Below are 14,084 nucleotides of genomic sequence, written 5' to 3' on the forward strand. Positions count from 1 at the left end.
CTTTGGTCTTTTTGTGTAGGGTTGCCTTGACTATTCGGGCTCTTTTTCAGTTCCATATGAATTTTAAAATAGATTTTTTTTTTCTTTTTCCTAACTCTGTGAATAATGTCATTGGTAGTCTGATAGAAACAGCATTGAACCTGTAAATTGCTTTGGGCAGTGTGGCCATTTTAATGATATTGATTCTTCTTATCCATGAGCATGGAATGTTTTTCCATTTGTTCGTGTCATCTCTGATTTATTTGAGCTGTGTTTTGTAATTCTTGTAGAGAGCTTTCACCTCCCTAGTTAGCTGTATTCCTAGATATTTTATTCTTTATTGTGGCTATTGTGAGTGGGTTGCATTCTTGATTTGGCTCTCAGCTTGGGTATTGGTACACAGGAATGCTAGTGATTTTTGTACATTGATTTTATATCCTGAAACTTTGCTTATCAGCTGAAGGAACTTTTGATCAGAGACTATGGGATTTTCTAGGTGTAAAATCATCATCTGCAAACAGGAATAGTTTGACTTCCTTTTTTCTTATTCCGATGCTCTTTATTTCCTTCTCTTGTCTGATTGCTGTGGCTAGGACTTCCAATACCATGTTGAATAGGAGTGGTGAGAGAGAGCATCCTTATTTTGTTCTGCCTTTCAAGGGGAATGCTTTCAACTTTTGCCTCTTAAGTATGATGTTGGCTGTGGATTTGTCATAGATGGCTCTTATTATTTTGAAGTATGTTCCTTCAATGCCTAGTTTGTTGAGCTATATACCACACTTTCTTTATCCACTAATCGGCTGATGGGCACTTCAGTTGATTCCATACTTTTGCAGTTGTGAATTGTGCTGCAATAAACAAGTGCAGGTTTCTTTTTGATATTATGACTTCTTTTATTTTGGGTAGATACCCAGTAGTGGGATTGCTGGATCGAATGGTTGATCTGCTTCTAGTTCTTTGAGAAATCCTCACACTGTTTTCCATAGAGGTTGTGCTAATTTACATTTCCACCAACAGTGTATAAGCATTCCCTTTTCACTGCATCCTCGCCAACATCTATTGTTTTTTTACTTTATTTTCCATATAAAAAGGGGTTTATTTAGATGTTAGAATCATCTAGTGATTCAGAAAGATTGGACATGAATCCACCCAGGCCCAGGGCTGAGCTGCAGAGCAGCCGCTGACATCCGCGGGGATTTCACATGCAACAGGGAGCTCTCACGTGCTTGCTGGCCATTGTGCTTTAAATCGTTTTTTCCAGCGGACAGCTGTGACTGCAGTTTTCAAATGTGCTCTGGCCTCCAAGGACCAGGGGGGCGGTGGGGGGCGGGGGTGTCCTCTGTATAAAAAGTGCTGTCCTGCGAGCTTCCCGACGGACACTTTGGGGCATCTGAGCGATTCCCGGGGAGGGCAGCTCTGCCTTCCTCAGGCTACCACTGCAGCCACCGACGGACATTCTCACCAGCAATCAACCAAAAAACATCAGAGTCTCTGTGAACTTGGCTGCGATGATAAGAACCAAATGTTTTCTAATCTAAGACTTGTATGCAGAACACAGGAAATTGCAATTAGGAACACCCTACAAAATTGAACAACAGTATTTTCTAAAAATATTTTTTACATCACTTTAAATAATTTACAGAAAGCTACAGAAATCATATTTACCAGGACACATCTGTTAAATAAAAGCATTGTTTCATGTTGGTGTACGTCTATACAGGGCTATGTATAACCGACTCCTGTTTCTCCTCCCTGCAACCACAGAACCATCACACACACACACACACACACACACACACACACACACACACACACACACACACACACACACACACGGATACACGCACAGATACGCTCCTTTCCACAAATGCACGCAAACCGGGACGCAAACCCACAACTCGAGGGCTTAGACCTTCACTGCTGAGCTGCCGCCACTGTCCTCCGTGCGCGGAGTGTCGCTGAAGTCACTGGCGTCACTAACCAAGGCGTGCCCGCCCAAGGTGCCCTGGTCCTGGTCGTCCCTATCGATGACCCTTCGTCAATACCTCAGGTCTAAAATGCTTTCCTCCGAGCCCGAGTTCCTCCTGTCGGGCAAACTCCGCCCTGTCTGTGCCTTGCTGCTTGGCCAGGGCCCGCCGTCCTTCTTCGCCAGCAAGTGTGGGCTTCCAAAGACAGGGCTGGGCCCGGCCTGGGCCTCCCTGAAGGCAGAGAAGGACGGGCCCTGTGGAGGCAGCCCCATGTCGGGCTGAAGAGGCTGGCCTGCCTGCCCCCCTGGGAGACACCCTTTCCAAAATGGAAGAGCTGGGTGGACAGCGCGGGGAGAAGCCCACAAGGGGTAGGCTGGGCAGGCCCCAGGCGGGGCCCTCGGACCCCTTGTCTTTCCCGCTCCCGACGCCCCGCCTCCACTCCGCATCTCTACTTTCCGAGCGCAGCGCGCACGGGTTCCGGTGGGTGAAGTCGCTCGAGGGCAGGGTGTGGTCAGCCTGGGCTCCAGAGTCCCTTTCAGCTTCCTGGCTAGGGGTCAGGAAGCCCCGGCTCCCGCAGCCCATGTGAAAGCTCCCCCCAGCACCTCCGGCCTCGGTGCCCGCTGTGGCACTGCTGGGCAGCTGAATAAAAGCACTTCTGGCAGCATGCTCGGCCCCTCGTGAGCGCTGGTCTTTCTGAATGTAAACATTTCTCCTGCTCGCTGAGAGCCCCTTGGCGGAGACACTGCCACTGGTGCTCCTGGGCGGTGCCGGATCCCCTTGGGCGGGAGCAGCGGGGAGCCCCTTCCTGCCCTGGCTGAACAGGTCGGCTGTGCCCTGTGCTCCAGCGCTCTCTGCACCTCATGGCCCTTCTGCCGGCTGTGGGACCCCCCTGGCCCACTGACTCCGCGTGCACACGCCAGGCGGTGGGGCCCGCTCCTTCCTGCACAGCAACTCTGGCCTGAATGAGCCCCATTTCCCGAGAGCAGCAGGGCCCTCTGCCTGAACTTCTGAACTGCTCAGACTCCTTGGCCTTTTCCGCCAAAAACTTACTAATCTACAGTTCGATGCTCTCGTCACTGTCCACTGAACTCCTGTCGTCAGACAGGGAGCCGGGGCTGGGAGCTGGGCCCTGGCATTCCCTGGGGAAATGGATTCCCTTCAGAGGCGGAGGCAGAGGCGCATCCCCTCACTCGGAAGGCCGGGGCCGTGTCCTGGCTCCTGACGCCCTCCTGCTTCGTCTTCTCTGCCATACTGCCACAGACACTGGGAGGTTTGTTCCCTGGACCCTCGCCGCTGTCTCTCTTGGACTTGGAGAGTCAGCTATTAAGCACCGGCGGGCTTCTGTCTTTCCAGTCTCTCGGGAGCCCGCCCAGCTGCTCCAGGAAGTGCATCTGGGCAGTGCTGAACCTGACCTTCCTGCACGCAGCCCTGGGTTCCCTGCACCTCTTCTTGAGCTTTCGCTTGGACCTTAAGTCCTTGATGGCCGTGTCCAGGTCCTCGTCACTGTCCAGGGAGCTGCTCTTGTCTTCGGAGCTCTCCTTCTCGTCCAGGTGCCTCACCTCGTCTGTCTTACCCTGGCCCTGCGTCATGCGAGTGTCGCCGGGCCCCTTGGCTGCGCCCTCCCCTCCCGGGACCTCGCTGGCTTTGCCCTGGACGGGCAGGTCCCGCCCCTCATGGCCGGGCACGGCTCACGCCTGGCTGTGGTCGGCATCCTGGCCACCATCTTTCACCACCTCCCGCGTTTTCTTGGGCGTGGACGGCCTCATGGCATGGCCGCCGCCTCTACGTTTCCTTTTGCAGCTCAGCAGCGGGTCCGGTGTTTTAGAGAGGGGGGCCTTGGGGCCACTGGTCTGGCTGTTGGGGCCAGGCGGTGAAAGTGGGCCCTGGGCAGCCTGCGAGCAGCTCTCACCTCTGGCCAGCAAACTCCCCGACTATGCCTTGAGGGTCAAAACGTCTGGATTTCCTGATCGATGCTGTCGTCGCTGTCCACGGAGCTACTGTCGCCGTCAGAGCGGGAAGGCACGTTCAGGGAGTAGAAGCGTGGGCTTGCAGAAAGGGACCTGTTGCTGCCTTACATGGGGGCCGGCAGGGTAGTCTTGGAAATGCCCAAGATTGCTTCCGCGCGCGTCAGTTCAGCGGACGTGTCTGCCTGGCACGAGGACCGTTCTACAAACTCGTTCCTGGAAGCCGGGCTCGCTGGAGGCGGAGCTTTGGTTTCCTTCGGGAGCTTGTGGGGAATGGTCAGCGTCTAGGCACCCCGGGCAAGGGTCTGTGGCCTTGGTGGCCACTGGCTTCCTCTAGCTGGGTGTTTTCCTGTGGGTCTCGCGCAAGGCACTTTTTTGTGGCGCTGCTTGTGCTGTGTGCGGGGTCAGGCGTCCTCTCTCCTCCCGGCGCTGGGCCCTCTGGGGCAGGTCCCCGTTGGCCTCCTTGCGTGTTTGCCGCAGCTAGTACACCTGGATGGCCTCCTCAGTGCCGTCGTTGCTGCTGGAGTCTGACGCCTCGGGCGCCTGCGCCGCACTTGTGACTTGCTTTCCCCTTCTCAGGGCGCCAGCGCTCCTCTTGACCCCGCTTTTATTCTGTGGTGCTTCTGAAGGGCTGCAGGGGGCTGCTGGCTTCGGGCTGCCCTTGTTCTCCTGCTTGGTCGTGACCCTGGACTTGAGGCTTCTGGGCTGCACGTTCGTCTTTGCTAACCGGGGAGGTTTGCGAAAGGCGAACTCTTTATGGGCGCCCTTCAGACCCTGCCGATGCGCCACCTTTGCGGCTAGCTCTTCGTGGGATTTCAAGAGTGACTTGGTCGAATTTTCGTTTGGGTCTGGTTTTTTATCTATTGACCCCATCACATTTTTGGGTCGCATGCTATCTCTTCTCATTCAGAAGCTGTTCTATTTCCGCCTTAATGCTCTGCTCGAAGGAGTCGTTGCTGCTCGCTCTGACCGGGAAGGCAGAACCCTAGTCCTCACTGGATCTCACCTGGCTGCCAGGGCCACCACCTGAGCCAGGTACAAGTTTTGGGGGGACACACGGAAGTCGGGGCACTGCCGTGAGATAGTTCTGGCTTACATCTACTGCCACTGCCTGCAGCCCTGGAAGGCTGGGCTGCGCCTGGCTGGCCCCTGCCAGCCCCGGGCTGTGCGGCTCCACTCTTTGCCTTTAGGTACTCCCGGATGGCTTCCGCAATGTCCCGGTCCACGGAATCATCATTGAATCTAGCACCAACGGGCCAAAGTCTGCAGTTTCCTCCTCCCTCATGGGGTCAAAGTCAGCAACAAGACCACAGGCAGGCAATGCGGGCTGCTCCTTGTGCACGGTGGGCTTGGCAGCTGGCTTGGCGTCTGCCCTGTGGCCCCTCTGTGCAGCGCGCTCATCGGTGGTGCCCCGAGCAACCCCGCTGCGCTGCAGCGTGCTGATGAGCATCTGCACCCGGGCGCTCACCGACACGCTCTCCACCCCCTCGTCAGCCTCCGAGAAGCACCCGGGGAACCTAAAGCTCCCTGGTGGGCCAAAGGCCTCCCATTTGGACTGGGGAGCAACCCCTGGAGTAGCGTTCCTGAGAAACATTCTAGCAGAAGGGGAGGGACGCGCAGAGGGACGACGCTTTATTTCTCTGCCAGCTTCATATACTCAAAAGGTTGGCAGCGGGGTGCAGTGGCTCAAGCCCGTAATCACAGCACTTTGAGAGGCCGAGGCGGGCGGATCGCGAGGTCAGGAGTTTGAGACCCGCCTGGCCAACATACTGAAACCCCGTCTCTACTAATAATACAAAAATTAGCCGGGCGTGGTGGTGTGAGCCTGTAGTCCCAGCTACTCGTGAGGCAGAGGCCAGGGAATCGCTTGAAGCCGGAAGGTGGAGGTTGCAGTGAGCTGAGATCGCCCCACTGCTCTCCAGCCTGGGTGACAGAGCGAGACTCCGTCTCAAAAAAGAAAAAAAAAAAAAAGAGTGGCAAGTGGTGCCCATGAGATAAAGTCTGCAAATGCTTCTTTGCAGTTTAAAAAGGACGACGACTATAAACCCAGGATCAGGACGACGTTACGCATAGATTTATTCTTGACCTGACCAACGAGCTCTTGAAATTCTCTTTGCAACTAGGTCGACTGTGAAACTGCAGCCAGTGTCCCCAAACGCCCCAAGGATAAGGCCTTTATCACTCCGACGCATCCTCTCTCTGCTTTTTAAATAGACTTTTGACTCGGCCAGGCCCCCTGCCACCCACCGCGCTGACCCTGCCTGCGCTTGCGTCCCGCGTCCCGCATCCGGGGGGAGGCGGCGGGCCCGGGTCTCTGGGGCTGGCCCATTTACTTAGTTTTGTTTTTGTTGCATTTGCTTTTGGTGACACTCCCTTTTTGATATTCCACATATAAATGAGGCAATAATTTTCTTTCTATGTCTGCTTATTTCACTTAGCATAATGGTCTCCCTGTCCACCTCGGCTCCCGCGCGGGGAGGAGGGGCAAGGGCCCTCCGCCCGGGCCCCGCCTCCCCGCGCGCCGCTGCCACCGCCCCGCACCTTTTTTTGACTTTTTAATAATGCTCATTCTGACTGTGATAAGGTGGTATCTCATTATGGTTTTAATTGGTATTTCCCTTGTGATTGGTGATGTTGAGTATTTTTCATGTTTCTTGGCCATTTGTGTATCTTCTTTTGAAAAATGTCCGTTTGGCTGGGCGCGGTGGCTCACGTCTGTAATCCTAGCACTTTCGGAAGCCAAGGCGGGTGGATCACCTGAGGTCAGGAGTTCGAGACCAGCCTGGCTAACATGGTGAAACTCCGTGTCTACTAAAAATACAAAAATTAGCTGGGCGTGGTGGCATGCGCCTGTAATCCCAGCTACTCTCGAGACTGAGGCAGGAGAATGACATGAACCCAGGAGGCGGAGGTTGCAGTGAGCCAAGGTTGCGCCATTGCACTCCAGCCTGGACGACAGGAGTGAAACTGCATTGCAAAAACAGCAACAAAAAAAATCCATTCATCTAGTTTGTCCACTTTTTAACAGGATTATTTGTTTTCTTCTTGCTGATTTTCTTGAGTTTCTTGTAGATTCTGGATCCTTTGTTGGATGTATAGTTTGTAAATATTTTCTCCCATTCTGAGGGTTGTCTCTTTTCTCTGTTGATTATTTATTTTGCTATGCAGAAACTTTTTAGTTTAAGTCCCATTTACTTAGTTTTGTTTTTGTTGCATTTGTTTTTGGTGACACCCCCTATTTTTTAGATTCCACATATAAATGAGATCATGCAATAATTTTCTTTCTGTGTCTGCTTATTTCACTTAGCATAATGGCCTCCATGTCCACCTGTGTTGTGGCAAGTGACAGGATCACCTTTCTTTTTATGGCTGAATAATATTCCATTGTTTATATATACTACATTTTGTTTATCCACTTCTCTGTTGACAGACACATAGGTTGTTTCCATATTACTTAGCTGTATATAGAAATACAGGTGGTTTTTGTATGTTGATTTTGTACTCTGAAAACTTGGTGAACTAATTTATTAGCTTCAATAGTTTCTTAGTGAATTCCTTAGGATTTTCTAGATGTAAAATAATGTCATTTGCAAATAGAGATAGTTTTACTTCTTCCTTTAAAATCTGGATACCTTTTATTTCTTTTTCTTGCCTAATTGCTTTGTCTAAAATCTCCAATAGAATGTTGAATAGAATGATGAGAAGGACATTGTTGTCTCTTCCTGGATCTTAGTGGGAGACCATCCAGTTTTTCACCATTAAGTAGATGTTAGCTGTGGGGTTTTTGTAGATGCCTTTCATCAGTTGAAGAATTTTTTATTTCTAGGGTGTTGAGTGTTTTGTTATGAAAGGGTGTTGGATTTTGTCAAATGATTTTTCTGCTTCTATTGATATAATAATGTAGTTCTTGTTCTTTATTGAAATGGTGTAGTATATTAGTTGATTTTCAGGTGTTAAACCAACATTGCATCTCTGGAATAAGTCCCACTTGGTCACAATGTATAATCCTTTTGATATGTTGCTAGATTTGGTTTGCTAATTTTTTTTTTTGAGGATTTCTATACGTGTATTTATAAGAGATTTTGGTCTTTAGTTTTTTTCCTTGTGCTGTCTTTGTCTGATTTTAGTATCAAGATAATACTGGCCTTTCACAGAATGGACTGGGAAGTGTTCCCTCCTCTTCTGTTTTGATGGGGCAGTTTGTGAAGAATAGATATTAATTCTTCTTTAAATATTTGGTAGAATTCATCAGTGATGCCATCTGGGCCTGGACTTTTCTCTGTGGAAAGTTTCAAAATTACTAATTCAGTCATTTTACTTGTTATAGGTTTATTCAGTTTGTCAGTTTCTTTCTGAATCAGTTTTTATACTTTATATTTTTCTAGGAATTTGTCTACCTCATCTAAGTTACCTAGTTCATTGGCAAATAATTGTTCATGGCATTGCCATTATAATCCTTTTTATTTCTGTAAGGTTAGTAGTAATTTTTTTTTATTTCATTCCCGATTTTGGTTAATTTGAGCCTTCTCTCTTTTATCTTGGTCAGTCTAACTAGAAGTTTCTCAATGTTGGTGATTTAAAGTTTTTTTTTCTGGTTTCATTGATTTTTCTTTATTTCTCTATTCTCTAAAAAATTTTGATCAAACGATTTTTCCCTGTTTTTTCACTACCCAATGTTTATACTTAATGTGTGTATTGGATAACTCTATTAAAGTTCATCATCATGTACTTTCATCATGTAATAGTCAGATATATCTTATATATAATTGTACTGCCTACTTTTAGAATTGCTTGTTCTTTAAGGCTTTGACTTCATAAAAGTTTTCACTCTTGGCCAATATTATTTACTACAGCGTGTTTTCTTCTTCATGAGGAACCATGGAAGAAATCTTTGGTCCAAGACCCATTAAGCTTTCCTGGAGAAGCTAACTAATTAATTTAATTTAACCTTATAGATACTATGAATCTTATAATTGTTTGTTACTGTTTTAACTGCCAGCTTTCATGATAGCATGCATTTTGGGGGATACTAACATTTTTCTTGTCATTTTTTTCACCTTTCTATATTTTACTTTCACAATTATAAGTAAATAAAGACTTGTTTTAACATAAATCACACTTTATAGTAATAAAGAGCGGATCTCTGTTGCTCTCCTTTTTTACTTTAAAATTTTTTATTTTTAATTATTATGGAGACATAATAGGTGTACATATTTATGGGATACATGTGATGTTTTGATACAAGCATATAATGTGTAATGACCAAATCATGGTAGTTGGAGTATCCATCATCTTAAGCTTTTATCATTTATTTGTGTTAGGAGCATTCCAATTCTAATCTTTTAGTTATTTTGAAATATACAATAAATTATTGTTAACTATAGTCACTGTATTGTGACTATATAGTGTTTCCATAGAACACTAGATCTTGTTCCTTCTATCTAACTGTCTTTTTGTACCCATTAACCAACTCCTCTTTTATCCTCCCATCCCCACTACCCTTCACAGCTTCTGGTAATCATCATTCTACTCTGTCTCCATGAGTTCAATATTTTTTTTTTTTTTTAAGCTCTTGCTTGTAAGTGAGAACATGTACTTGTCCTTCTGTGCCTGGCTTATTTCACTTAACATGATGTTCTCTGGTTCCAAATGACAGGATTTCATTCTGTTTTATGGCTGAATAACATTCCATTGTTTATATGTACCACATTTTCTTTATCCATGCATCCATTAATGGGCATTCAGGTTAATTCCATGTCTTGGCTGTTGGGAAAAATGCAGCATTCAACATGGGAATGCAGATATCTCTTTGATATACTGTTTTTATTTCTTTTGGATATATACCCAGTGGTGGGATTGCTGTATCATATGGTAGTTTTATTTTTATTTTTTTGAGGAACCTCTAAACTATTCTTTTATAGTGGCTCTACTAATTTACATTGCCACAAGCAGTTGTGCTTTTGTTTTTTTTTTGTTTGTTTGTTTTTGTTTTTGTTTTTTTTTACTGTTTTAACATAATTATTTGGAGCTTCATTCATGATGGCATATGCATCAACAATTTATTTATTCTCATTACTGAGTAGTATCTCACTGCATGGGATTTGTTTTTTTTTTTAAGTTCAGGGGTACATGTGCAGTTTTGTTACATAGGTAAACTTATGTCATGGGGGTTTGTTGTACAGATTATTTCATTGCCCAGGAATGAAGTCCAATACCTACTAGTTGTTTGTCCTAATCCGCTTCCTCTCCCACCCTCCACCCTCTGATAGGTCCCAGTGTGTCTTGTTCCCCTGTGTGTGTCCATGTGTTCTCATTATCTAGCTCCTACTTATAAGTGAGAACATGCAGCATTTGGTTTTCTGTTCCTGCGTTAGTTTGCTAAGGATAATGGCCTCCAGCTCTATCCATGTCCCTGAAAAACATTGCTCTTTTTCTATTCCTAGTTATATCCATAGAAATGACCATTGATAGTTTTTGCTTACTCTGTCCCTCCAGTTTTTCCTTCCTCCAGCATATACACAAGGATTTTAATTTTACCCAATTGAAGTCTTACTTATCTACACCTTTTAACAAGTCATCATCAGTAATTTTGGAATAGGCATTAGATTCACATGGTTCAAGATTCAAACGAAAGAAAAGTATAAACAGTAAAAAGTCTCCTCATTCCTTTCCCTAAGCCACCCACTTCTCTTCAGAGGCAACTAATAAAAGTTTCTAGTTTTGCATTATTCTACACCTTGCTTTTTTCATTTAGCAATATATCTTGAAGAGCACATCTCCCTCTGTATTTAGCTTAATCCTTTTAGTGGATTTTTTTTTTATTTTTTGGGTATATCATAATTTATTTATGAATTTCATTGTTGAGAGACATTTAGTTTGTTTTTGAATGTGTAATACTACAAACCGTTGCGGTGAATTATCCTTATATATACATTTTCATGCACAAATGAGAGTACTTTTATAGTGTAGATTCCTAGAAGTAGAACTGCTAGGTCAGAAGGTATTCACATTTAAAAATTTTAAATTTGCTCATAGAATGAAGTCTTTGCTCATAGAATAGTCTTTGCTCAAATCTCACTTTACCAAAGAGGCCTATCGTGACCACTCTGCTTAATACTGTAACCTGCCCCTACTTCTCCCTGAACTTCTCTATCCATTGCACTCTATTCCTTTTCTAGCATAGTATATGGTTTACCTATTTATACTGCTTTTTGGTTACTGTCTTTTTCCCTCTGCTCCAAGAAACAGGAATGTTTGTTTTGTTCACTAATATATATTTCTAGCAGTTAGAATAGTGTTTGATGCTTAGTAGGCATTTAGTAAATATTTATTGAATAAATCGAATACATAAGCAAACAGTATCCAAAATTATCCTCCGTAAAAATGCCTAATTTCTTTTTTTTCCTCTGTATCTCAATGAATAAAAAAAAATACTGTCTTTCTTTACCCACTTATTTTGGATTTTTTTGGTCTTGTTTTTTGTTTGTTTGTTTGTTTTTGAGTTTGACAAATTTATTGGTATTTTATTAAAGACATTCATCTCAGTTGTTTCTCTCTCCCAGCTTGACCTTAGGTTAATATTTCATTTGGGTCAAGAAAAGAATATCAGAAGAGGTATGTTATTTTAACAAACAGGAAAATGGACAAAAATGGATAGTTTGCCTACATTAAAGTGAGTTAAATTCAAGTATCTTGATATAATTAAATCATATAAGAACTAAGAGTTCTATATACATTTCCATTGTTTTACCTGGGGCTTATTCTAAACTTAAATACTAGTTAACAAAGAGTTAGGAATATACACAGGTTGCTTCTCTGAGTTATTACCGACTAAAAGAGCTCAGCGAGCAGTTACCACCAATAAAACGGTCTGAAGCTGCCTCCAAATACAATATTGTAGTAGGAGTTTTCAAGGAAATTTTTATACTGTATTTTTTTTTGTCTGTGACTGTGCTTTTAAAGATGTGTTTAACTGTCACATTAAAAAAAAAGTTCGTATACAATACAAAAATACAAAAAGAAAACACCCTACAATACACAAATTCACAAAGTATGTGTGGTGAGATTCCAAAAAATGTTTGAAGATGCATTTTCTTTCCTTCTATTTCAGTATCTAAAATGTGCTTTTTGAGAGGCCATTGGTCAATATGTATACATTTAAAATAAACCATATAATTTTACTAGTAAGAAAGCCAGTAGTTAAGTTCAATTCAAATTGGATTTCACAAGTTAGTAATTTAAATCCTTGGACAAAGTTACAGAAAGTGCATCTTCTTGTTTTCCATCTTCATACAATGTTAAATTTTTTTTTTTTGGTGTTTATACCTTTTAAAAAATAAAAGCAGCCAAATACTTAAGCAATATGTACATTTAAATTTTTGGTGGTGGTTTGTATTTTAAAAGAAACAGTTTTCTTATGATTCGCTTCAAGTTCTGGTGGAAATGCTTACAGGAACTAGCTAATAAACAAAAAACAAGAGAAGCACATTCAAAATACTGATTTACTTTGGTAGCAAATGGTTTTTCTTTGAAGATTAATGAAGATAGACAAGACCCATTAAGGTGAAGTGGGCTATTTCAAATATTCAACAGTTTACATATAAAAAAGTTATTTTAAGAGCTAAGCGTCTGTATCCACTGATAGCAATGCAACACCTAGTTTATGATGACTTGAAAGAAAACAAATGCCCATGAAGAAAAAAGCTGTATTTTAATTTTATCTAAATGTACTTTCAGTCAATAGTTCAGTAACATTTTCCTCCCAATACAATACTCCCTCTCTCTATAAGGCTATTCCTGGGAGCCAGACAAGTTTAGGTAATAAGGGAGTTAAGAGAGTAACTGCTTGCAGTTTTAAATAGACAATTAACTTTTTGCTTCCCTCTTAATGTGCTAATAGTTGTGTCTAAAAAAATAGGCAATTCTTAAAAAGGTACCATTTCTGATTTCTTTATTATCTGTAAACTTTGGAAACTAATCACACAAAACTACCAAATTAGCAAATGTCTTGAAATCTGTATACAAAACATAAATTACCTCTAATTTCAAACTCTCATTTATTGGTGTACCACTCAATCTTTTAAAAAGATGAAAAAGAAAAAAAAAGTGGCTCCAAAGGTAGTCTTATACCATTCTTAAAAAAAGGAAACTGTTCTTTTTAACTTTATACCCACCCACACCCCAATTTCAAAACATCATTTAATTGTCTTGGTCATAGACATTTCGAAGATGAGATTTTATATTCCACTCCCATAGCTTCTGGTTATCAGAAAACCCATGCTTTCCTTTATTGAAGGAGTTTGGTCCAGCTGATGTTGGTGTATCCCTTGCAATATTCTTCATCCTCATCTTTGCTTCTGGAGGCCTTTCCTCTGATTCACTATCTTCATCTTCATTAAAAGCTGCTGCTACTGAAAGAGTTTTTGGAGCAAGAGTTGGAACAGTTTCTTTAGGCTTACTTGATCCAAGTTTGATGGATATGGGTGATGCTTTCTTTGTCGTCTGACTACCTATGGCAAATCCAAAGTTGGAGATCTTTGCAGGCTTTGTTGGAGGTCTGCAGCTTCTTCTTCAGCTGATCGCTTCTCAGCGCTGCGGCTGGAACTTTCCTCTCCATTACTCCAGCAGCTCCAGCTCATTGCGACTTTTCCGGCTTCTCCTCTCCCGCCTTCCCATCAGCCATTTCCCCCGCCGCATTGTTTTTTTAAGATTTCAGAAATCTTTCTAATACAAGTTGGGATATAAATAATTAGATATAGAAAATAGCTACAAGGTATTTCTTTTAACTTTCTCCACCCCCAGCTCCCAGCAGTCAAGAGTCAAGCCCTAAGTCTTGTCCTTTCTGTCAGAAATAGATACAAGAAGGATACAGCAAACACTGCTATAACACCTCTCTCATAGGATTCAAATCAGTGTGGAGATTATTATAGGCTCCAGATGAGTTAGGATATCTTTAAGTCTCAATTTAATAAAACTAATTGTTTTCCTGTGCTTTAAATATCTCTCCATTCTATATAAATATAATATAGATCTAACAGATGTAGTCTTGAAATAGATGGCTATAATGTCAGTGAAGTATTTTTTTCCTTATTTATATACATTATAACTTTCCTTATTTATGTACATTATAATTTTAAAGGCCTGATAGTCATAATTATTGATGTTCAGATTGGTA

General features: G+C 43.4%; 1 protein-coding gene and 2 pseudogenes across 4 annotated transcripts in view; 1 reads left to right on the top strand and 2 right to left on the bottom strand.

Annotated features, from left to right (window-relative positions):
• Window positions 1-14,084, top strand: part of RB1 (RB transcriptional corepressor 1) — a 178,140-nt gene that overhangs the window by 11,220 nt on the left and 152,836 nt on the right. The window lies entirely within an intron of this gene.
• Window positions 1,719-5,585, bottom strand: PPP1R26P1 (protein phosphatase 1 regulatory subunit 26 pseudogene 1; annotated as a pseudogene).
• Window positions 11,408-13,604, bottom strand: PCNPP5 (PEST containing nuclear protein pseudogene 5; annotated as a pseudogene).

The sequence above is a fragment of the Homo sapiens genome, chromosome 13 (assembly GCF_000001405.40).
Source record: "Homo sapiens chromosome 13, GRCh38.p14 Primary Assembly".
In the NCBI taxonomy this organism is placed as follows: Eukaryota; Metazoa; Chordata; class Mammalia; order Primates; family Hominidae; genus Homo; species Homo sapiens.